A 24,602-nucleotide genomic window follows, 5' to 3' on the forward strand; every position below is an offset into this window, starting at 1 on the left:
AAAGGTGCCAAGACCATTCATTAGGGAAATGATGGTATTTTCAACAAATGATGGAACTGGATACACACACGTAAATGAATGAACTCACACCCTTACCTTATTACATACACAAAAATTAACTCAAAATAGATGAAAGATCTAAACATAAGACCTCAAACTATAAAACTCTTAGAAGAAAATATAGGGGAAAGTCTTCATGACACTGGATTTGGCAATGATATCTTAGATAAGATACCAAAAACACAGGCAACAGAAGGAAAAATAAATTGTACTACATCCAAATTTAAAATGTATGTTCATCAAAGGACACAATCAATATAGTGAAAAAGCAACCAACAGAATGGGAGAAAAGATTTGTAAATCATATATCTGAAAAGGAATTCATATCCAGAATATGTAAAGAACTCCCAAAACTTAACAACAGCAAAAAAACACAAATAACCCAATTTAAAAATGAGTGGAGTTGAACTGACATTTCTCCAAAGAAGATATATAAACGGCCAACAAGCACGTTAAAAAATTTGCTCAACATTTCTATCATTAGGGAAGAGCAAATCAAGGCTGCAATGAAATATCACCTTACACCTATTAGGATGGCTAGTCTAAAAAAAAAAAAAAAGTTTTGGCAGAGATACAGACAAATTAAGACCCTTGTGCACTGCTGGTGGGAATGTAAGATCAGTATGGCAATTCCTCAAAAAATTAAAAATAGAATTACCATATGGTCCAGCAATCAGAAAATTCTGCATTATGTATCTAAAAGAATTGAGGCCAGGCGTGGTGGCTCACGCCTGTAATCCCAACACTTTGGGAGGCCGAGGCGGGTGGATCACAAGGTCAGGAGATCGAGACCATCCTGGCTAGCACGGTGAAACCCCGTCTCTACTAAAAACACAAAAAAATTAGCCGGGCGTGGTGACAGGCGCCTGTAGTCCCAGCTACTTGTGAACTTGGGAGGCGGAGCTTGCAGTGAGCCAAGATCGTGCCACTGCACTCCAGCCTGGGCGGCAGAGCGAGACTCCGTCTAAAAAAAAAAAAAAAAAGAATTGAAAGCAGAGTCTCCAAGAGATATGTGCACAATCATATTCACAGCAGCATTATTCACAATAGCCAAAAAGGGGAAGCAACCCAAGTGTCCACCAGTGGAAAAATGGATAAACAAAATGTGGTATAGATATACAATGGAATATCAGGCATCAAATTCTGACATATGATATTCTCATGATACTAAGTGAAATAAGCCAGTCACAAAAAGACAGATACTGTGAGATTCTATTTATGTAAGGCATCTAAAGTAGTCAAACAATAGGAAAAGTAGAAGCACTTCAAGAAAGGGGCAAACGGGGAGTTTTCTAATGGGTACAGAGTTTCTATTTTGCAAGAATAAAAAAAAGTTCTGAAATTGGTTGCACAGCAATGTGAACAAACAACACTACTGAATTGTACACTTGAAAATGGTTAAGATAGTAAATTTTGTTATGTGTATTCTACCATAATTAAAAATTAAAATTAAAAAAGAGGCTCCCTGGCCAGGCGTGGTGGCTCACGCCTGTAATCTCAGCACTTTGGGAGGCCAAGGCGGGCGGATCACGAGGTCAGGAGATCGAGACCATCCTGGCTAACATGGTGAAACCCCGTCTCTACTAAAAGTACAAAAAAAATTAGCCGGGTGTGGCGGTGAGCGCCTGTAGTTCCAGCTACTTGGGAGGCTGAGGCAGGAGAATGGTGTGAACCCAGGAGGCGGAGCTTGCAGTGAGCCGAGATCGCGCCACTGCACTCCAGCCTGGGCGGTAGAGCGTGACTCTGTCTCAAAAAAAAAAAAGAGGCTCCCTCACATAATAAGTAAGAAATTGCATAATACCCTTTTATTTATTTATTTTTTGAGACGGAGTCTTGCCCTGTCGCCAGGCTAGAGTGCAGTGGCGCGATCTCGGCTCACTGCAACTTCCGCCTCCTGGGTTCAAGTGATTCTCCTGCCTCAGCCTCCCGAGTAGCTGGGACTACAGGCGCGTGCCACCATGCCTAGCTAATTTTTGTATTTTTAGTAGAGACGGGGTTTCACCATGTTGACCAGGATGGTCTTGATCTCTTGACCTCGTGATCTGCCTGCCTCAGCCTCCCAAAGTGCTGGGATTACAAGCATGAGCCACCGCGCCTGGCCTACCCTTTTGAAATAAATAGTATATCAAAGGTAAAAATTTAAGGCTGGGTGCAGTGGCTCACACCTGTAATCCCAGCACTTTGGGAGGCCAAGGCAAGTGGATTGCTGGGGCCCAGAAGTTCGAGACCAACCTGGGCAACATGGCACAACCCTGTCTGTACAAAAAATACAAAAATTAGCCAGGCATGGCCGGGAGCGGTGGCTCACACCTGTAATCCCAGCACTTTGGGAGGCCGAGGCGGGAGGATCACCTGAGGTCAGGAGTTCGACACCAGCCTGGACATGGTGAAATCCCATCTCTATTAAAAAAAAAAATTTAAAAATTAGCTGGTGATGGTGGCAGGCACCTGTAATCCCAGCTACTCGGGAGGTTGAGGCAGGAGAATTGCTTGAACGTGGGAGGTGAAGGTTGCAGTGAGCCAAGAATGCGCCACTGCACCCCAGTCTGGGTGACAGAGCGAGACTCCGTCTCAAAACAAACAAACAAAAAGGAAACAGTTCAGATGCAGCTGTAAAAACAAAGTTAAATCCTTGCCGTCCATTTACATCAGAATAAATACTAGTTTGTGCTATGGGCTGAACGTGTCCCCCAAAGTTCACGTGTTGGAAACTTAATTCCCAACGCAACAGTGTTGAAGGTAGGACCTCTAAGAGGTGTTTAGGTCACAAGGGCTCTGCTACATGAATGGATTAATTCCGTTACAGTGGGAGTGGATTTGTTATCTCGGGAGCAGGTTACTGATAAAAGGATGGGTTCCGCCTCCTTCAGCGCTCTCTCACGTGTGCTCCTGCCCTTCTGCCACCTCCTGGGGGATGTAGCGACAAAGAAGGCCCTCGCCAGATGTGGCCCCTCAATCCTGGACTTCCCCATCTCCAAAATTGTTAGAAATAAGTCTTTGTTTTTCAGGAATTAGCCAGTCTCAGGTATTCTGATACAGCAGCCCAAAATGGACTAAGACAGACAGATTAAATGCTGTGTACAAAACTAAAGTAAAAATACCTTCTAGAAGAAAAGACAGGTGCATCTTTATCTGGCTGCATGCTAGGGAGAGTTGACTACACAGAGAGACGGAATATCTAAAAATGGGGAAAAATCCAACACACTTCACCACAAAATATGAAACATTTTTGACATCAAAATGATCATAAACAAAAACTAAAAGGGTGAGAAAAATGTGCAGTAGGCAGAAAGAGGAGTGAAGAATTAATATCTTTAATATACAAAGACTCATACAATGGCTGAGAAACACATCAAAACCCAAGAGAAGGCCTGTCATAGGGGCCAGGCGGCCGCAGGAGACGAAGCCGCAACCCCCTGCAGGCACACGGCGGCTGATGGAGGAGGCCAGGCTGGTGCTGGTCTCTGAGAGGACACCACTGCTGGCCAGCTATGGGAAACGGCAGGGCATCTGTGTCCCCGCCAGCCCTTCTCACTCAGGCCTGGTCTCAGCACGCACCACCCCATCACACCCTCCCAGCTCCCCCTCCTAAGGGAGCCATGCTACTCATCACCATCTTGTAACCCCACAGTTGGCCACTGGTTCCTCTGTGTGTTGTGGATCTCCTCAACCAGGCTGGGAGCTCCTCAGGGGCAGGGCTGGGCCTGATGTGCCTGTGATGCCCAGGACCCAGCATGAGGCTGGGTGAGTGGGTGCTGAGTGTGGTGACACATGGGTGTTTACATCAGCCCCTGTCCCAGCTGAGCCCTGAGGCTCCCTCCCCAGCTGCCTCCCGCTGTGGACAGGACCACACCCCAGGGCCCAGCAGAGCAGGCAGCCGCAAGCCAGAGCCCAGGTTGCCCAAGCCAGAGCAGAGATGGCACAAATGCCATCACCCATCGCACCAGTGCCCAGGGCAGACATGAAAAACCAATCACCACAGCAGACAGGAATAAGCAATCACCACATTCCAGATGGGCAGGATAGGAGATGGGGAAAGGCAGAGAAAGAGGCACAGAGAGGGCCACAGAGAAACATAGAGAAGACCAAGAACTGGAGGGGGGAGGGAAAAGAAGGGACAAGAAAGGAGCAAGCAACAGGAGGGAGAGTGAGCAAGTGTGCCTGGGCAGCCTCGGACCTGCCCAGCCAACCACCCTCCTGCGGACCCTGTTACCAGGGCTGTCGTTTGGTGTCTGGCTGACCTGGCCTCCCTGAAGTGTGGTGACCTACGAGGAGTTAAGGGCAGTGGGACAGCCCCTCCTGCCACCCTGAGATGCCCTGTCACCTGTGCCACAAGCAAGCCAAGTACCCTGCCTGAGCTTCTTTGTCCCAACCCAGAAGACCCTGCATGGCCAAATGGCCTGAGCAGTGACATTCTCGGCCAGACGCTGGTCCTCCCACACAGCCAGGCGGCAGCAGACCCAGCTCCCACTAGGCTGGCCCGGCCGGCAGCTTTCCATGCCCAAGGACTTGGGAACAGGCAAGGAGTCAGTCATCCTGTCCCTCCCATCTGCCCTAGATCCCTCAGCCTAGGTCACTCAGGCATCCGGAGGCCATGGCCTTCTCCCTACCACTTAGGCACAGCACTGGCTGGGCCATGCCTCCACAATGGGCACTAATTGTCACTGAGAAACCACAGGGCTGTCAGCCATGCCTCCCACAGAGACTGCTTTTTGGGGGGACAGGCAGATGGCCAGGGTGGGGACTGGAGGAACAAGAATGGCCAGGAGCCATTCTCTTAAGCCATCACCCACTCTGCTGAACAGCACCCATCGTGGCAAAACTCTGGCAGCGTGGATGTGAGCAGGGTATGCCTTACCATCCTTCAGAGGGTCCTGGGGGACATGGACCACTCAGCCTCCAACCCTGCCATGCTTCCCAGGCGCTATGCCTCAGTCCCACTGGAGCTAGCAGCCATGATAAGCAGAGGAACCCCAAACACAGATAACACCTGAGGCCACGGGCCAGTACACATGGCCTACGGCTGTGATCAGAGTACATTCAGACTATTCAGTTATGGGCTGTCTGCAGCCATTTTCATCCTACAATGGCAGAGAACTGCAGCTGTGACAGAGACCATAAGGCCTGCAAAATTGAATTACTTACTATCAGACCTTTTCAAACAAAGTTTTGTGTGCCTGGCCTCCAGGACTATCCTCTGTCCCTGTGGCTCCAGTCTCTGGGGGGCAAGCGAATGGCCTGGCCCAGCAGGCTGTGCCAATACTGGATGCCACTGCGGCTGGCATCCTAGCTCAGGCAGGTGAAGAGCAGACCCAGTGAATGTCCAAACCAACACTGACCAGCAACCTCGTCAGCCAGCCCCAAACAGGCTTGTCCCTAAAGCCAGACATCAAACCAGTGGCTGCTGCCCATATTCAGGCCAGTAACAAACCCAAGCTGGTGGCAGGAGGCCCTCACATCCACCCTGTCCAGCCCAGGGGCTGTGCCTACCCAGGGTGAGAAGGACCAGGAGCACACAGTGTCCAGGGCCAGTCCATCCCTGTCACCCCCACCCGCCAGGCCCACCAGAACACTCTGCTGTCCTATGTGGGAGAGGATGTCCCCAAGCTAAACCCAGGCCACTCACCTGTCTTGAGGGAAGATCAGCATGTCCCGACACCCACCCTGCAGGCTCTGGCTCCTGCAGGGAAACCAGAGGGCATGAGTGAGGTCAATCCAGCTGGGTAGGTCCCTGCCGGATAAAGGTACACAAGCCCAGACCGTCCTCTAAGCAGGACCTTGTCATGCCTGATCTGAAGGTCATCCCGTGGTGCTCCTGACTCATAACCACACACTCATGTGTACCTTCTTGCCCCCACATGTCCAGGACTGTAGGTGACACTGGGCTGCCACGGTTCCTTGTCAGCATGTCTAATGCTGTTGACCATCCTTCAGAAACGTGATCCTTCAGAGATGTGGACTGATAATGACGTCTTCCCCATCACACACAGCACAGCAGTATTCCCACCCCAGGGTAGCCAGGCTCAGGGTCCTGTTGCCCCACGCAGGTGCTCACAGCCCCATAAGACATCTGCTCCACCTCCCTAGAGTCCGCTCCCGCCTTGTGGGCGAGGCCACGTGCCTCTCCTGAGGTTCCCTGAGGCCAACATAGATCCTGGGCCCTCCCAGGCAGGCAGCTGCCCCCAACAGTCTCCAGTACAGGGAGGGCGGGGAAGCAGGCAGGTTCCTGGCCCTGGAGCTGTGGCCAGGTGTGAATAACCATTTGTCTGGGATGGGGGACCTGGCACTCAAGCCTGGGGAGCTGAGGCTTATGGGCTGGAGCAGGAGACAAGGGGGTGCCTGTACTCACACAGCTTTCAGCCTTCCTCAGGGGAGGACCCTGCGGCTTCCTGTCTCAGCTAATGGCCCCGGGGACACATTCCCTCTCCTTATATCTAGGCCCGGGGATATTGCCAGAGTGTTCATGTCATAAAAATGAAAAACAGGACACTGCAGACAGACAGGGAAGGGCTGGGCCTCGGATGGGAGGCTGTCTCTGGGGGACATCGGTAATGAGAGCTCTCTCCCCCGCCTCTACGGTGTTTTCTAGATTGTTCTGAGGCCCCGCCCAATAGTCCTTTGTGGTCATGGTCCATTCTGGTGCCCCAACGGTGTGTTTCCCCGTCTCACGACAGCCTCTTCATCATGGGAAGGGGTCCAAGTGAGGGTGGGCGACTGGCTACGCCTCAGGGTGGGATCATGGGGGGTGGGATGCAGGGCCTGAGGCAGGGAAGAACTGGGGACCAAGCCAGGCACATGTGCATATGCATGTGCGTGCATGTGAATATGAGTGTGTGTGTGCACCTGAGATGGGCAGGCCCGGTTGGGAGCCCATCCACCAGCACTGCGCCCCGAGGAAGAGGAGATGCTGCTCCTACTCCAAGGTCTGAGGCTTAGGAACCAGCTTTTGCTCTGAGTGTGACATTTCTAGGAAACCTCTGGTTTTAGCTTAAGTGTTCACATAGGTTTTGTACCACAGAGAACCATGTGACTTTTTTTTTTTATCCCTGATAAGCACCAGCCTCTCCCCCGGAGTCACCATGTGCCACAGAACCGAGACACACTGGCTGTGAGCCGTCATCTCACTGACTCTACCAGGTGTCTCAGGTTGGCTATATACCCCATTTTACACATGGAGAAACTGGGTCCCAGCCAGACAAGGGCTGGGCCAGGATTTAACTCAGGTCTTCCTGCCTCCAGGCCTCCCAAAGTCCCCCCCCCCCACCCAGTTGGGGAAGTGTGACCAAAGGAGAACATGGGTCCTTCCTCATGGGCCTCCTACCTCATGGGGTCCAGCCAGGCCAAGAACCTGCAACCATATGGTAGAGCCAATAGCAGACCCTGGGAAGGGGTCCAAGTGAGGCATTGGAGAGGGCTTCCCCCAGGAGATGGGTGGGAGCAGAGGATAGCAGCACCACAGGAGGCTGAGTGGTAGGAGCAGCCAGAGCTGTGGGTATCCTTCCTAAGGGTGCACTAGGCACATCAGCATCGTACAGGCAGGGGCAGAGCAGAGCATCTGTGGACAACCTAAGGGAGCTCTGGGCAGTGGACGGACAGAGGGACGACAGACAGGACAGTGATGTGAAGGCAGAACTAGTGATAGGATCATATGGGAAGGTGGGGAGGTGCTCACCTTGGGGAGCCCCCCTGAGTGCTCTGCAAGCTCTGGGGTCACCTGCCTGGCCAAGGACCCAGTACCAGCCGCCTCAAAGCGGGGGAATGACCACGCCCTTTATTGGGCCCTTTTCCCAGTGAGGATGGCCTGGGCCTACCCATGCCATGGGACCCCCACACTGGGTCTCCCCACCAAACTGTCCAGACCCGATGGCTGGCCATGGGGCTCTGTCAGCCCCTGGCTACACCCCACTGATGCCCTAGTAAGCCCTGTGGTTCTGGCACGGTATCCATGGTCCAACCAGAGGGCTGAGAGGTCTCACACTGGGGCATAAGCCTGGCCCAGGCCACACAGCCAGATTGGCAAGCTACAGTCCTTTGGATAGCTGACGGCACAGGGCAGCTCCCATGGGTACACACTGGGCCCAGAACTGGGATGGAGGATGCAGCCTGGGCTGGGTAGGCAATGAGGGGCCCAGGTGAGCTCGCTCTGCACTCCCTGCAGTGTGGCCTCAGCAGGCCACCCCCTCCCCAAGTCTCCTCGCTTCCTGCTCTATGAGCGCGAGGTGACACTGACTGTAGGTAGCTGAGAACATGCCCTGGCAACAGCCAATGCAGGCAGGTGAATGGAGTGCCCCGTGGCCAGTGGACAGGGAAGGTCCATGCTGCTCAATGACAATGCTGTCCACTACAGCAAAACCGAGTGTTCTCCTAGGCCTGCTGCCACCCTGGGCACATAGTGAGAACACGCCCACTTCTGCTGTGGACATTGAGGCACAGACCACACCTGGGAAGGCTTGGGAGGCCCCTGGGCACACACTTGAAGGACACTGCACTTTTGGGGCTACGCAGGCACAGGGCTAGTCCTTCACTGTCCCTGCTGAGCCTGTGTGTGGTCACCCACCAGCTGGCCTTCAGGCTTCCTTCTGCCTGCACCAAGCATGTTGGGGGTACCGAGGGGCCTTGCTTGGCTCCTTTCCAACTCCACGCCCTCAATAGGCGGCTTGGAGGCCGAGCTCCGGTCATCCAAGCCAGGTGTCTGGGGAAGGGTCCTGGTCTGCCGCAGGAAGCTGGGTGGAGCCGGTCTTGCCTGCTGTGGCGGTCCCAGCTGCCCTCTGGTGGCCATGCTCAGCTCCCCGTTGCTCTGCCAGAGGCGGCAGCCCCTCAATCAGCAGGGGCAGTGGGAAGGGCCTGTGCATAACTGGTTATGGAGTGGGGGGAACTCTGTGGCCCCAGGCACCCACCAGCTCTGGGTCATCTTCCCGACCTGAAACAGGCCAAGATATGAAGGCCCTGAGCCAGGAAAACCTACTAAGGGATCCCTGATCCCAAGTCCCCTCAGAGTGACCCAAGACTTCATCTTGGGTTTTTCTGTTTGTTTTTTTGTGGGTATTTTTTTTTCTTTTTTTGAGACGGAGTCTCACCCTGTCACCCAGGCTGGAGTGCGATGGCACAATCTTGGCTCACTGCAACCTCTGCCTCCCAGGTTCAGGCAACCCTCCTGCCTCAGTCTCCCCAGCAGCTGGGATTACAGGCATATGCCACCAGGTCCAGCTAATTTGTTTTGTATTTTTAGTAGAAACAGGGTTTCACCATGTTGGCCAGGCTGGTCTCAAACTCCTGACCTCAGGTGATCTGTCTGCCTGCCTCGGCCTCCCAAAGTGCTGGGATTACAGGTACGAGCCACCGTGACCAGCCCATCCTGGTTGTTTTGTTTGTTTTTGTTTTTTGGAGATAGAGTCTCGCTCTATCACCCAGGCTGGAGTGCAGTGGTGTGATCTTGGCTCACTGCAACCCTCACCTCCCCGGTTCAAGCGATTCTCCTGCCTCAGCCTCTTGAGTAGCTGGGACTACAGGCGCATGCCACCATGCCCGACTAATTTTTGTATTTTTAGTAGAGACAGGGTTTCACCATGTTGGCCAGGCTAGTGTCAAACTCCTGACCTCAGGTGATCCACCTGCCTTGGCCTCCCAAAGTGTTGGGATTACAGGCATGAGCCACTGCGCCCGGCCTCATTCTGGTCTTAATTGAAGCTGCTGACAAAAGAACAGACACCTCCCCATGACTAAGCCACCATCAGGGAAGTCCCCAGGACCCCCAAGGCCCAGCTGGTGCTCTGCAGTGCTGTCCCTGGACCCCCACCCTCCATTCCTGGCCCTGTCTACAGAATGGGCCCTGACTCCCTATCCCAGCTCTACCCTGTCACTCCCTCTGCCAGGGCCAGGCGGGGAGCACGACAGATGGGCTGGACAGAGGGTGGTGCCTGGCATCCGTGTGCAGAGCTCCCTGCTCCACCCAGAGACCGGGGATCCTGCTGCTCCTGCACCTTCTGTCCTTACTCAGGACAGCCTCATGCTCCCCCAGGCCAGACTCCTGGGGTGAAGGAGCACAGGGAACTCACCCTGAATCCCTGTGTAGCACAAACAGAAGGAGGGGTGCTACCCTACCCTCACAGAGCCACAGAGATGCAGAGGGCCCCGGGACTGGGGGGAGACTACAGGGCCACCTCTGGAGGGAGTGCCAGAGCAAACATGGGAGCCAAGCAGCCCAGATGTGGTGGGTGGGGAGACTCAAATTTAGCAGGATTGAGGGTCAGAACTTGTTCTCCCAGGAGGAACCTTGGTCAGAAGGTCCTTGTGTTTATGCTGAAAAGCCTGACAGGGCAGCTCAGCCAAGAGCTGGGCAGGGGCTGGCTTGGCTGTGCTCAACTACCCTCTCAGCTGGGACTTGAGTCCCTTAGCGAATGTTCTGTGCCCAGTCCTCTGCTGGGCGCTGGTGGACCCCAGAATGGGGGTAGGGTGGGGACAGGGGACAGCTGGGAGCAGACATTGCGGATAGGATGGGGCAAGACTGGGGGAAATGCCTTCCCAGACACGCTGCGGCTCACACTGTCGCCTGATCTAAGGCCTGGATCACCTGCTTAGGAGCTGACCGGCCACTGGCATGGCACACCGGGCAAGAGAGCGCTGACTGCCCCCCTGCATTCAGCACCATCCCAGCTCCAATAGAGTGAGTACAAGATAGGTAACACCTGCCTTGTTTGGACCAGACCTCTAAACACCGCCCAGATCCCAGAGTAAAGGCAGATAAGGCAGTAGTTAAGAAGTAGGAAGAAGTAAAGGCAGCTACCCCAGAGAAGCTAAGGTCGGGAGAGGTGGAGGCTCCCACTGCACCCCCCTGGCCCATACCATAGGGGAGGTTTCCCCCACAGCAGCCTGGGTACTCACCTGAGGTTATTAGACAGCAGCATTAAGAGCCTACTCTAAAAAATACCCACGGGGCACCTTTCTTTTCCTTATTTCTAAATATGCCTGGATGTAGGGAAAGGGAGCTGAAGTCCTTTAGTTCCATTTTAAGTATGTTACATTACACATAGCTAAGAAACGGTGAAATATTGTAAGCAGCCAATATTTAATTATTTAAAAATTAAAATAGGCTGGAGCTCTCAGGCCACCTGCCCAGGGCGACTCCCCAGCAAACCGAGCAGTCTCCCTCAGAGTGGAGATGACATGTCTCCGCACCGGCACCGAGGGGGCGCAGGGCGGCGTGGGGAGGGGGACCCAGGCCGGGGGTCCGGGTGGCGCGCCCTCTCTCACCCCCGAGGCGGCAGGAGCAGCGCGGCGCGAGGACACCTCCGGGCCGTCGGTGCCCCTGAGCTTCCCGGCGGCGCGCTGCCCCAGGAAAGTTCCCGGCCTGCCGCCCCTCGGGCTGTTGGAAAGTTTCGGCGGCTGCAGGGCCCTGGCAGCTAGGCGCCAAGCGTCGCGCGGGGCGGGCACGGCTGCGGGGTCGGGCCGCGCTCGGCTGGAGTGCTCAGTGCAAGACGCCCGGACGGGTAGGGTAGGGCCCCAAGGCCACGCACAAAGAGACCCGCCCCCGCCGGCCCGGGGTCTCGGACGCCGCAGAGCGCGCGGACAAGACGCGGGTGGGGCGGAGATTGGCTCCGACGTCCGGCCCAGACCCTCGCCCGGATCTCGACTCCAGGGATAGGACCCTGTCCGGACCGCTGCCCGGAATGCGTCCCATATCTGCAGCCCCGCCCCCAGTCCCGGCTCCGACCCGAGGCCCCAGCCCCGGGTCCCACACCCCGCCCACTGGCTCAGGCTTACCTGGAGCGCAGCGTGGGCGGCCCCGCAGCGCGGCCTCGGACCCCAGAAGGGCTTCCCCGGGTCCGTTGGCGCGCGGGGAGCGGCGTTCCCAGGGCGCGGCGCGGTGCGGCGCGGCGCGGGTCGCAGTCCACGCGGCCGCAACTCGGACCGGTGCGGGGGCCGCCCCCTCCCTCCAGGCCCAGCGCGCAACCCGAGACCCCGGGCCAGCCCTCCCGCCCTCACGCGGCCCGTGCGCAAAGCGGACCGGGCCGGCGACGCGAATCTCCGCCCCGCCCCATCTGACAGCAAATTTTCCCATTGGTCGAGAGACCCGGCGCGGCACGGCAACCGGCGCCGATTGGGCGGATGCGCGGAGATGACGGCTTGCCATTGGGCCTCCGGGATGTCAGTCCCGGCGGATGACCGGCCCCCTCGCGGAGGGGCCGCGGCCCCGCACCTGCCCGAACCTCTGCGGCGGCGGTGGCAGGGTACGCGGGACCGCTCCCTCCCAGCCGACTTACGAGAACATCCCCCGACCATCCAGCCCCGAGCAGGGACTGGCAGAGCCGGCGCCCCTTCCCCGGACTCTGGCCGCGTAGCCTCCGCCACCACTCCCAGTTCACAGGTATCCTTCTTCAGCGCCTGCTACTCGCTGCGCGCTGCGCGCCGCTCCCTCCTGTCGACATCGAATTGTATTCTTCACGCAAGCCGCGAGAGAGAGTTCTGCTGCTATCCCCATTTTACAGTTGGGAAACAGCCTCAGAGAGGTTCTCACTTGCTTGAACACAGTCGTCTGACCCTGGGGCCTGGGGGCTCTCTCATCCTCACGCCCCTGGGTCCCCGCAGCGGGGAGACGATGGAGGTAGGAGCTGCAGTATTTCCGAGGGCAGGAAGGGACCCCCTCGGTAAACCAGGGGCTCACCTCCCCCACCAGGCCTGGATGTAGAGACCTCTTGGGCTTGTCCCACCCTGCAGGCCCCCCATGGGGCCGCCCTTTCTTACCTCCTCCTGGCATTCTCACAGCCCCACAGCTCTGCGTCTGGGGAGGCAGAGTTGTGCGTTTATGCCCGCACCCCGTACTACTGTCCCATTTTCTTCACCCTACCTGGAGTCAGGAAGAAACGGTGCTTCACTGCCTGTTGAGATTCACGTAGGTTACATTTCCTTGCCAGATTAAGAGCACCTGACATGAGTGGGACCATGACCCTCCGCCAGCTCTGCGTAACCTTGTGGTGTAGGGGGGAACCAGCAGGGATGCTGCCCAGTGGGCTTTTCTAGGGGGAGGTCCTGAGATGACTTCTTAGCCAGTGACCCTGGCTCACGCATGCTGTCATCCTTTCCTGCCCTGGATGCACCTGGAGATGACCAGTTCCTCGGCTCATTGCATTCTCCAAGGCCGCCTGGGGAACCAAACTGCCCACAACCATGCTTATGAGTGGTGGAGGGGTGTGACCAGACACTCTTGTCTTATCCACCCATATTGGGAGTCCAGTGTGTTCATCCAATCATTCCTTGGCCAGGACAAAGAAAATGAAATGGCCCAAGGCAAGAACTCACTGCTGGGACCACCGCTGGGTCCATCTGTGTGCTGGCAGCATGGTGAATCGATCCCAGCTGCCTTTCAGAGCCAGGCAGCTACTATCAATCGATTGGAGCTGGCACTTGACGTGCCAATTGGCCTCCTGGCATAGGGTTGTTGCTTGCTGCTCTGGGAGGGCAGAATGAAGTAGCTGTCCCTAGAATAGGGGCCCTCACAAACCAGGTAGCTGTCATCCTGTGGAGCAGCACCATGGTGACATTCTGGCTCAGGTGCTGTGTAGCTGAGGGGTCGTTTCCTCCATTTAGGAGTAGACGTAATGAGTCCAGCTGTCCCCAGCCATCTCTTCAAGGCCATTGGACCCTGGTTCTGCTGGAGCCCCTCTTCTCACAGTTACCTCATAGTCCTGCACCACCCCCTCCCCACACTTGCAAGAGGGACTGGACAGACCTCTGTTGAAAGAGTGCAAAAGACAGAACCATACACCAAAATCTGTGCAAGTGAGACTACCTCTCCTCTCATCACCACCCCTACCACCCATAGGGTTGCAGAGACCTGTCTGCCCTCGGCAGGCAGGATCATTAGCTGAGGTCAGAGGATGTCGGGGCAGCACCAATTCAAACAGGACTCAGGACCGCTGTCCAGCAGTCGGCCCATTAGGCTGCAGCCAGGGGTCAGAAACACAACAAGGGAGGCTGGGCGCAGTGGCTCATGCCTGTAATCCCAGCACTTTGGGAGGCCAAGGCAGGCAAATCACCAGAGGTCAGGAGTTCGAGACCAGCCTGGCCAACATAGCAAAACCCCATCTCTACTAAAAGAATACAAAAAAAAGTAGCGGGGCATGGTGGTAGACGCCCATAGTCCCAGCTACTTGGGAGGCTGAGGCAGGAGATCGCTTGAACCTGGGAGGCGGAGGTTGCAGTGAGCTGAAATTGCACCACCGCACGGCAGCCTAGGAGACAGAGCGAGACTCCATCTCAAAAAAAAGGAAAAAAGAAAAAGATAAGAAAAACACAGCAAGGGAGACCACAGGGACCAGTAGCCCAGTGTTCTCCCTCTCTCATCCTCTCACCTAGCTCCATGCGGACAGCTGTGAGGCCCCCGGAGAAAGCCACAGAGAGAAAATGCTTTCAGCTGGGTGTCAAGAACTTTTCAAGAGTGGCAGCTGTTGAAATCAAAAGAGTGGCCACAGAAGGTAGTGAGCTTCCTATCTGAGTTTGTGTGCAATTAGAGGTTGGATGCCAGTGAGCCTGTTGCAGCCCCAAGATCCCAGGGCTTAGGTGCCCATCCTAGACCCATTTCATCTGCCGTCACCTGCTTCCTGGCATCGCATGTCATCCAGACTGGAGTGTCAGTGGTGACAAAGAAGATCAGAGTGTCTGCTCTGGCTCTGTCTAGCTGGGAAAAGTATGGCTGGGGGTGGGGATGGCCCAAGGCCACAAGGTATGACAGAACAGGATGCAAACCACCATCTGACATGTTACTGCATCCCTCTTTGTGGGCAAAGGGAAACCTTGGTCAACTCATGTCCAGCTTTGAGGTGCATGGCCTGGTGCTTTGGGGAAGCCCATTCTCCAGGTGCTGCCATGAACCCCAGGGCACAGTCCATCACCCCCAAGCCCCAGATCCCACTTGTCCACCACCACCACCTCTTGGCCCTATAGATTGCATAGGTTTGGCTGCTCAGAGGGAAATCACTGGTACCAGCCCCACATGATCCCACTGCTGGATGGTGGGAGAGACAACCATGTCTGGCTGGGTCTGCGGCCCGCTGGCCATGAGTCCCTGGGCATCTGGAGTCCTTGTAAAAGGTTCTGTTGGGTTCCAGGGGAAACACAGATAAGATAGCAAAAGTGTGGAGCACAACGGGCCCGCATGTAGGTCCAGGTTAGACTCTTGCCGTTGCTGATTACCAGCCAGGCTCTTCCCATCCCTGAGCCCCAGTTTTCTGCAGGGCATCAGGGCACCTAGGTCTTCAACACAGGTTGAAGCTAATGTGGCCTCTCTTGCTTGCCACCTTTTTCAACTTCAACTGAATGACATAACTGCTCCAAGTCTCAGTGTTTACATCTATAAAGTGGGATGAAAGAACTGCTGACCCAGACATTGGGTTTAGAGTGCTTTACACATTATCATTATCCCTAATGTCTTTGTCATCCATGTCATAGTTTTTTGAATGCTCACTTTGAGGCAGGGCCTGAGCCTCTGGGCTTTGACTCTCCACCTTTCTGCCACATAGGCCCAGGCACAGCCCAGAGGCTACAGGAGCAGCGGTCCCAGCTAATGCCTCTGTCCTGTTGGGAGGGCCCCAGTCAGTGCCCACCTGCTCACCCTGCACAAGTCAAGCTGGGCCAGCCCCTCGTCGCTGGGGCCTGGACCTGGATGTGAGCTCAAAGGCTACACTGGGGGGTGGAAGTGGGGGAGGTGGTGGGTGTGCAGGGTATAGTGCTCAAATGCCTAGTCCAGGGTCTGGGGGTACATACTGGGAATGGCAGGGACATCAGGGAGGAAAGAGCCGACCTGGAGGCCATAAAGTGAAGGAAGGGATGACCAAGAGGAAGATGGCCAGGTCCAGAGGTGGGGTTGAGTGAACAGGATGGGGAGACCAGGACGCAGTCTGAGGGGGCCAGTCCGGAAGTGAGCATTCCTGTACCTCTTCCGAGAGAGGCCGCAGGGTGAGCAGGTGACAGATGGTGTCCATGAGGGCATGGACTCAGGGGCGGCTGCGACCTCCCATGGCGTCCCTGCAGGCAGGGAGCCGCGGAGTCCCCGAAGGCCGCTGGATCAGGAAGCGCTCAGACGCCCGCGCAGCCCGAAGCTTTGGCGCAGCCCCGGGGGCGGGGCGCCAGGAGGTGGCAGCCTCCGAGCGACAGCGCGCCCAGCCAACGGGACGCCGGCATGCGGCGCGCCGCCCCGCCCCTCGCTGCGCGGCCCAATGGTGAACGCGCCGGCTTCGGGCTGGGCGGTACTGGGCTGGCTGCGGTGGCGCGCGGGCGCGGCACCCGGAAGTCGGCGGCGGTGGCGGAGGCGGTGAGTGCGCGGCTCCGGGGCTGGCCGACTCCGCTAGTGGCCCGGCCGGCCTGGGCTCGGGGGCTCCGGGCTCTGGGCTCTGGGTGCGCGGACCGGGCCAGGCTGCTTGAAGGTGGGTGGGCTGGCCGCACTTCCTCACCCTGCCTCAGTTTCCCCTTTCTGAGGTATGGTATAGAATCAGGCGGCTGGGTCAGGGGCAACCACGTCGATCCCGGCCGACGAAAATGCCCCGCGCGTTACTGGAAGGTGTTTTTGATAATCCCCGCTGGCACGGGATGCGAGGGACTCTGGCAGGTGGGACCAGACTCGCTGCGGGGAGGCTGAGATCGGCAGGGTTGGGAGCTGCGTGGTCCCTGCAGGGTGTGTGGGCTGCTCGGCCTTGGCCAGCATCAGGGACAGCTCTGGCGCCCGGTCACTCTGCCCCCTACCCGCGGCCTGCTGCGGGCCAGCAGGGTGACAGCTAATGTGGGTGTGAGTAGATAGTAAGTGCTGGGTCATCCCTGCGCCTGGATGCGGCCTTCCTGGGGAGGTTTGGGTAGTTAGATCCCCCACCCCCAACTCCAGAGCGTCAGAGGTAGGGGCTGGCAGGGCTGCACTCAGGGCAGTCCTTGCCCCACCGCTGGGCTTTGTAGCAGCCTGGGCTTTGCCCGTTTTCCTCTAGGAAGTGGGCACAGAGGGCTGTTTGCTGAGACCCCCACCTTCCCTGCCCCTAGCACCTCTCCTGTGCTCCCTTGGCTTCCTGCTGGACCACAAGCTTTAGAGTGAACCGTCTGCCCTTGGACAAGTCCCTGGGCCTCAGGCCCCCTTCCTCTTCAGGAATGTCACATGCCCTGCCCTGGCCAGGCCTGTTTGCACTGTCGTGTGGCTCTAGACCTGCTGACCACTGTTTTGCTGCCACTCTGGGCACAGTGCCCTCTTCCATGAGGCAGATGTGACGGCAGCTATAAGGGGGTAGCTGAGTAGCTCTTTGGAAGGCTTTCTCACGCTAGCTCATTTGCCTCTGGGCAGCCTTTTGGGGCAAGCATTCATTGATCCAGTCCTGCTCATACAAGGAAAACTCAGGCTAAGGTGGCAGATCGTGTTCCCAAGGTCATTCAGAGCCAGGGCCTGCTCCCAGTGCCTCTACTACTCCTGGGCCACTCTCTTAGGAGTGTCCCTGTGTCTGTGTCCTGCGTCTGTGTTGGGTGGGCTGGGAGCAGCTGGAGAGGGTGACCATGTTGTTAGATGGACACAGCAGAGCCTCTGTTCCCACAGGATCCTAGTGCTCTGGTGGTCCAGGGTAGGGTGCCCTGGTGCCCCCACCCCCTTTGACCCCTACACAGCTTTGTGTTACTTGCATGTCCTCAGACTGCAGGCCCCTCAGACCAAGCCCCTGCCTGCTGTGATGTGTGGTGGCCATAGCCCTTCCCTGAGCTAAGGTGACCAGCTGTCAGCTCTTCCTGGGCTGCCCAGCCTCTTGTGCTTCCTTGGTCTTCACTTGTGGGCTGTCATTCTGATTACGTTTTGCAGTGTGTGGAATCACGTGCAGTGTCCTGGGAACTTGATCCTGTGCCCGGCTTCTGCGCCAGACGGCGAACTTGGAGGGCACCCCGGTGCCCACCCAAGGGTGCTGCTTCTGAAAACACCCACAGGGATATGAGGGGCTTCTCAGGGACCCCAGAAGGGGTCTGGAGAGAAATGGCCCGGGATAGGGAGGCTGGGAAGACTTCTCGAAGTAGGGCCATGCTTGTCATTGACACTCCAGATGCATGAGAAGCAGGGCCCATCCTTTGGTGACGTGTCAGTCAGCACATGGCAGCAGCATGGCAGAGCCTGGCCTTTGTTGGCCCCTACCATAGGGCTTGGGCTGTCTTGAAAACAAGCCTATCCCTACCATGAGGATGGGCTCCGTGAAAACAAGGTCACCCCAGAAAGACTGAGCTGCTTTTTGAGGTTATCACAGCTTTTTCCCCTTTTTCTCTCAACTTCCCTTTTAGACTGCAAAAATAGTTTATGCATGCTTAAAGATAAAAAAGGCTGGCCTCCTTCTCCCAGCGGCTGCTCCCCTGGTGCACTTGCTGACATTTGGGGGTACATCCATTGAGATCTTCAGTGCCATGCTAACTTGAAACTTGAAGTGCTTGCCTTCATCCTCTTTGCGGGCATGGTAGGAGTGCCCCCCTTTTTTTTTGTTTTTACTAACCACTCAGGCCGCAGGGGCCGCTGCGAGGCTGGCCTGTCCCTGGCTTGTGAGGAAGCTGAGTGTTCCTCCCAGGAGGGCCTGAGGATGGGGCCACCCTGTGTCCAGAGCTTGCTGTCTGCTCACGATGCCTCTTGTTTGTGCTATTCCTTGGAACTGGGAAGAGACAGTGATCCTCTGGTGTGAGGCTGAAGAAATGCCCCGGAAGCATTGTGAAGATCTGAGGAGAGAGTACCACTGTAGAAAATGTGTCATGATAGGCCAAGCACGGTGGCTCACGCCTGTAATCCCAGCAGTTTGGGAGGCCGAGGCGGGTGGATCACGAGGCCAGGAGATCGAGACCATCCTGGCTAACACGGTGAAACCCCGTCTCTACTAAAAATACAAAAAAATTAGCCGGACGTGGTGGTGGCAGGCACCTGTAGTCCCAGCTACTCGGGAGGCTGAGGCAGGAGAATGGCGTGAACCCAGGAGGCAGAGCTTGCAGTGAGCCGGGATCGTGCCACTGCACTCCAGCCTGGGCAACAGAGCGAAACTCCATCTCAAAAAAAAAAAAAGAAAATGTGTCATAATAAAATGCCATTTAGGCCCGGCACGGTGGCTCACACCTATAATCCCAGCACTTTGGGAGGCCGAGACAGGTGGATCACCTGAGGTCAGGAGTTCGAGATCAGCCTGGCCAACATAGTGAAACCCCGTCCCTACTAAAAACAAAATACAAAAATTTGCTGGGCATGGTGGCAGGTGCCTGTAATCCCAACTACTCGAAAGGCTGAGGCAGGAGAATTGCTTGAACCCAGGAGGCGAACGTTGCAGTGAGAGAGGTCACCCTCTCCAGCTGCCCCCAGCCCACCCAACAGGACCATTGCACTCCAGCCTGGGCGACAAGAGCAAAACTCCATCTAAAAATAAAAATAAAAAATGCCATTTAATAGCCAGAGAGTGTAAACTGGTGAGCTCTTGCTGCGGAGATAGGAGGGAGCAGGGCATTGCAGTGGACTGGAGACTCAGAGGGTTTCCTGACGTCAGGACTTTCTTCGCCCAGGCCCCGTGAACAGCGACACTGTGTTCCCACGTGTGTTTACCTCCTCTGCTGACAGCCACCGGGAGCCCGCGTCACATGTCTGTGTCTGCCTTTGAAAAGAGCAACTCGTGCTTTCAAGCTCTGCCCCTGGGGGCTGCCACCGCTGATGGAGTGGGGATTACAAGGGATGGGGATTGGGCGCCCGGCTGCTCAGCCCTGCAGCACCAGCCCTTGTGGCCATTGAGGCCATTAAATGGGGGCAGCAGACTGTAGGGCTTAGTCACCCTCTGTTCAGGGACTCACCATGTGCAGCCCCAATAGGAGCCCGACTTGATGGCTACCCTCCCAAGTGTCTAGGTCCCCTTGACCCTGTGGTACTAATAGCTTGCCATTCCTCTGTCACCACTGCTTTCTGCTTAGCACACATCCCCTCTGCCCATGTGCTATGCTTGCCTTTTCGCTTGCCAAAGGGAAGTGGTTCCGCCAAAAGCGTGTGTCCCATCCCCTCTGGCCCCCAGGGTCTCCAGGTGTGGTGTTGCTGCGACAGCCCAGCTACACCCCGTCCTATGCAGAGCTGTCTTGCACCAGGGCTGATTGGGTCTTCTCTTGCTTTCTGTGAACAAGTGACTCTTGGGTTCTTGCCCTTCCTTCCCTCTCTTCCCTGCCCATAGAAATGTCCCAGCCCTGGCAGGGAAGGAGGGCAGGATCTGTACATTTTCTTTTTTTTTGCGTTTTGAGACAGAGTCTTGCTTTGTCACCTCAAAAGGCTGAGGCAGGAGAATCGCTTGAATACCGGAGGCAGAGGTTGCAGTGACCTGAGATCGTGCCACTGCAACCTCTGCCTCTCAGGTTCAATGCGATTCTCCTGCCTCAGCCTCCTGAGTAGCTGGGATTACAGGCGTGCATCACCACGCCCTGCTAATTTTTGTGTTTTTAGTAGAGACGGGGTTTCACCATTTTAGCCAGGCTGGTCTTGAACTCCTGACCTCAGGTGATCCACCCACCTCGGCCTCCCAAAGTGTTGGGATTACAGGTGTGAGCCACTGTGCCTGGCCAGTGCACTTTCTTTTGAGGGTAGACATTACTGTTCCCCGCCGGGAAGCATGCTTACTGGGTGTGCACGCTTTCAGTGTCTGGCGTGACAGATTGTACAAAGTGAACCCAGCCACACAGCTACCGTCCATATCACACCACCACCAGCACCCAGATATCTCCCTCGTGTCCCCCAGTGGCTGCCTAGACCAGGTGGCCCTGCCCTGCCTCCTGTCCCCATGGGCAGATGTTGCTTATCTCTGGCCTCTGCATGAAAGACCAAGCAGAGTGCTATCTTCTGGCTGAGACCTCCCTGCTGCCTCATCACCATGGAAAGGCACAGGCTGGCTTCTTTTCCAGGTTATGGACTTTCTTACTGTGTCACTTTGTGGACTTGGGCACCTGCAGAGTGCCTGGCATGGTGAGCAGGAGTTGGGGCATGGCGTGATCTAGGCAGGGTTTGGAAGGTTCTTTGAATAGCCAAGGGGGACAGTCTGGAGGGTGCCCTCCAGACACCTGAGAATGCATTGAAGCTAGGGTGACTACTGCAGCATCAGAGGCCTGGTGACACATTTAAGGCCTCAAGGGGCCCATGTGACTAGAAGTCCAGGATGTGGCTGAGGTGGGCCAGACTGGATGGCCAGCGGCCACCTAAGGACAATTGGCTGTGCGTTTGGGAAGCATGGGTGGTCCCCACCTCACAGCAGTCGCACAGGCAGACAGTGGGCAGATCCAAGAGCTTCACCAAGGCTGGGCGGGGTGGCTCACGCCTATAATCCCAGCATTTTGGGAGGCTGAGGCGGGGGGATCATGAGGTCAGGAGTTCAAGACCAGCCTGACCAACATGGTGAAAACCTGTCTTTACTAAAAATACAAAAATTAGCCAGGCATGGTGGCACGCACCTGTAATGACAGTTACTTGGGAGGCTGAGGCAGGAGAATTGCTTGAACCCAGCAGGTGGAGGTTGTAGTGAGCTGAGATCGCGCCGTTGAACTCCAGCCTGGGCGACATAGCGAGACTTCGTCTCAAAAAAAAAAAAAAAGAGCTTCACCACTGTGCAACCATACAAGGTAGATAAGAAAAAGGAGTTCTCATTTTGGGACAGGGAGGGCCTTTAGCAGGACGGGACATGACTGCTGTACAGTAATGATGGGAAAATCCCATGTAATATAAGGCTATTTCTACTAGACAGCATCACAGGCAGAGCTGAAAGGCAGGGGATGGCTAGGGAGAAAACAGTTGCAGGCCTGGGACAGGCACATGGTTGCCCACATCACACCAGCTGCACTACGGGTCAGTGAGACAAAGGCCTAGCAGTCAGTACCCATGTTGGTGAATTGTTGGCAAGAACATACAGGAGGTCACAAGTTGCCCAGCCAGTGGGGGATGCCCATAAAACCCTGGCGGGAACATTTCCCACACTGCATACACCCTGGAGGCAGGTGAGTGGCAACAGGTTCTGGTGCTAGACGTTAGCGGGGACTTGGCCAAGTCTGTTTATCTGAAAGCGTCACCCATGGATGGAGCAATTCCACCTCTTGCGTCTATCCTAGGAATGTCCTCAGCTGCTCTCCCACTGTTGTAAAGAAATACCTGGGACTGGGTCATTTATTAAAAAAAGAGGTTTAATTGGCTCTCGGTTCTGCAAGGTGCACAGGAAGCATGATCCTGGCATTTGCTCAGCTTCTGGGGAGGCCTCAGGAAACTTACAATCATGGCAGAAGGAAAAGCAGGAGCCAGCACTTCACACGGCTGGAGCAGGAGGAAGAGAGAGATGGGGGAGGTGCCACACACTTAAAACCAGATCTCGTGAGAACTCTATCACTGTACAGCACCGGGGGGGATGGTGTTAAACTTTCATGAGAATTCTGCCCCCATGATCCAATCGCCTCCCACCAGGTCCTGCCTCCAACACTGGGAATTAAATTCAACGTGAGATTTGGTGGGGACACAGATCCAAGCCAAATCAGCCCATGTGCAGAGCATGTGCTAGGGATGGTCGCTTGATGGGACGAAGACACCAGCCACAGCTGAGAGGCAGAGCAGCGGGAAAGCTGGGCAGTGGTGAACCAGTGGGGACATGGCTCTGGTGGAGACAGACCTCATGGCCAATCAGGGAGAACGGAGCAATGGGACCCTAGCGTGTTAACCCCACAGCATACATGTGTCTGCTCACATGTGTGTGCAAGCAGGTTAAGAACACTCTGGCGCCACAGGCAGCCCTTGGCTGAGGCTTTTTTTCCTTTTTTTTTTGAGACTCAGAGTCTTGCCTTGTCACCCAGGCTGGAGTGCAGTGGTGCTATCATAGCTCACTGCAGCCTCAAACTCCTGGGCTCGAGCAATCCTTCTGCCTCAGCCTCCTGAGTAGCTGGGACTACAGATGCATGTCACCATGCTCGGCTAATTTTATTTTATTATTATTTATTTTATTTTACTTTACTTTTTTGAAACGGAGTCTCGCGCTGTCACCCAGGCTGGAGTGAAGTGGCACAATCTCGGTTCACGGCGCCCTCCGGCTCCTGGGTTCAAGTGATCCTCCTGCCTCAGCCTCCTGAGTAGCTGGGATTACAGGCCTGCACTACCATGCCTGGCTAATTTTTGTATTTTTAGTAGAGACCGGGTTTCACCGTGTTGGCCAGGCTGGTCTTGAATTCCTGACCTCAAATGATCTGCCCGCCTCAGCCTCCCAAAGTGCAGGGATTACAGCCATGAGCCACTGCACCCTACCTTATTTTATTATATTATTAGTATTATATTGAGACAGAGTCTCCCTCTGTTGCTGTGTTGCGGAAGTGCAGTGACATGATCATAATTCACTGCAGCCTTGATCTTCTAGGCTCAAGCCATCCTCCTACCTCAGCCTCCCAAGTAGTTGGGACCACAGGCATATGCCACTGCACCTGGCTAATTGTTTTTATTTGCTTTTTGTAGACAGGGACTTGCTGTGTTTCACAGGCTGGACTTAAACTCCTGGCCTCAAACAATCCTCCTGCTTTAGCCTCCCAAAGTGCTGGGATGACAGACATGAGCCCTGAAGGGATGGGGCTTTGGCCCGTTAAATGTCACTGGAAATGTTTCCCTCCAGAATGTGCTCCTGGGTGACCTGAGCGATGGTATTAACAACTATGGGTCCCACCAGCCTCCAGAGCTGCCAGTCGTGGCTACAGGAGACTCAGCCTTAGGCTGGGGCACAGAGAGGCTGAATAGAGGGTGAATGAACAGGCAGCGTATGGGAGGGACCAGCGTTTCTTGGTATTATACAAAAGCTAGTGGAGGTGGTGCTGGTTGGTGTGGGGTGGGCGACTGGCACGGTCAGATGCCTGATGCCTGTTGGCCTCCTCAGAAGGGGAGGCTGGCAGTAGTGGGTTCTGGGACATGCAGGAGGGTGGCCTGGATTTGCCCTGCAGCACTGAGGTCTGCCTGTTCCCCACTGGGTCCTCCATTTGAGGCCCTGTCAGCATGGCCCTCGTCCCCCTTGCTTCTTTTCCCCATGGGCCTCTGCAAGGTTACTGCCCACCCTCCACCCCACCTACCTGCCTGTGGTGGGCACTGAGAGCCAGGGAAGCAGATCCTCACTGCCAGGCAGCAGGCCATGTGCGCATCCATCAGGGTGCCAGACCTTGTCCCCACGCAGCCCTGGCTGGGGTCACTGCTGCTGCTGCTCTCTGCCTGTGGCTCTGGCCCATCTTTGCCCAGGCGTTCTGTCTGAATGGTTTTCTTGTCGTGCCTTTTTTAGACACCGCATGGAGTGAGGTTTGGGGCTTGCCTCAACTGGAGTCTCATTCTTCTTAGAGAGGGAGTTTAGCCCGTTTCCATTTGGCCTTAGGACAGAAGGCCCTGTTGGTTTCTCTGAGAAGCCAGGGGAGGAGCCCTAGGCTGGAGAGGGGATTCTAGAGCGGGGTGGCTCTCAGAAGCAGAAGGTGGGCAGAGAGGACGGTGCACGCTGGGAGAGTTCTCGAAAGCATCAGCAGATGGGCCCAGAGTGCCTGGAAAGCTTCCG

At 55.7% G+C, this 24,602-nt stretch overlaps 2 protein-coding genes across 73 annotated transcripts in view, besides 5 other annotated features; one reads left to right on the forward strand and one right to left on the reverse strand.

Annotated features, from left to right (window-relative positions):
* ARVCF (ARVCF delta catenin family member) overlaps positions 1-12,055 on the reverse strand; it is a 51,690-nt gene extending 39,635 nt beyond the window's left edge. For all 14 annotated transcript variants that reach the window (XR_007067973.1, XM_011530179.4, XM_005261242.4 and 11 more), the window contains exons 1-2: positions 11,821-12,055; positions 5,687-5,740 (exon numbers count right to left, since the gene is read on the reverse strand). The gene's annotated coding sequence lies outside the window, so the exon portion shown is untranslated. The remainder of the gene's footprint in view (positions 1-5,686; positions 5,741-11,820) is intronic.
* Positions 5,910-6,734: an enhancer, noted in NCBI's record as "H3K27ac-H3K4me1 hESC enhancer chr22:19998201-19999025 (GRCh37/hg19 assembly coordinates)". NCBI's record gives its function as "activates a minimal SCP1, AML or CMV promoter by ChIP-STARR-seq in naive and primed H9 embryonic stem cells {active_cell/tissue: H9 hESC(naive and primed)}" and the evidence as "EXISTENCE:reporter gene assay evidence [ECO:0000049][PMID:30033119]".
* Positions 11,947-12,346: a silencer, noted in NCBI's record as "silent region_13471". NCBI's record gives its function as "represses an Ori minimal core promoter by ATAC-STARR-seq in GM12878 lymphoblastoid cells {active_cell/tissue: GM12878}" and the evidence as "EXISTENCE:reporter gene assay evidence [ECO:0000049][PMID:35858748]".
* The window catches only part of TANGO2 (transport and golgi organization 2 homolog), a 50,142-nt gene continuing 37,794 nt past the window's right edge, over positions 12,255-24,602 (forward strand). For 23 of the 59 annotated variants that reach the window (NR_104275.3, NR_104274.3, NM_001322148.2 and 20 more), the window contains exon 1: positions 16,342-16,366. The gene's annotated coding sequence lies outside the window, so the exon portion shown is untranslated. Of the gene's footprint in view, positions 12,425-14,412; positions 14,532-16,339; positions 16,531-24,602 lie in introns of those variants that run through there. The other 36 variants (NR_136212.1, XM_047441118.1, XM_047441131.1 and 33 more) reach the window with 5 other exon arrangements.
* Positions 16,105-16,494: a silencer, noted in NCBI's record as "silent region_13472". NCBI's record gives its function as "represses an Ori minimal core promoter by ATAC-STARR-seq in GM12878 lymphoblastoid cells {active_cell/tissue: GM12878}" and the evidence as "EXISTENCE:reporter gene assay evidence [ECO:0000049][PMID:35858748]".
* Positions 17,095-17,144: an enhancer, noted in NCBI's record as "active region_18666". NCBI's record gives its function as "activates an Ori minimal core promoter by ATAC-STARR-seq in GM12878 lymphoblastoid cells {active_cell/tissue: GM12878}" and the evidence as "EXISTENCE:reporter gene assay evidence [ECO:0000049][PMID:35858748]".
* Positions 18,463-18,602: an enhancer, noted in NCBI's record as "active region_18667". NCBI's record gives its function as "activates an Ori minimal core promoter by ATAC-STARR-seq in GM12878 lymphoblastoid cells {active_cell/tissue: GM12878}" and the evidence as "EXISTENCE:reporter gene assay evidence [ECO:0000049][PMID:35858748]".

The sequence above is a fragment of the Homo sapiens genome, chromosome 22 (assembly GCF_000001405.40).
Source record: "Homo sapiens chromosome 22, GRCh38.p14 Primary Assembly".
NCBI classification, from domain to species: Eukaryota; Metazoa; Chordata; class Mammalia; order Primates; family Hominidae; genus Homo; species Homo sapiens.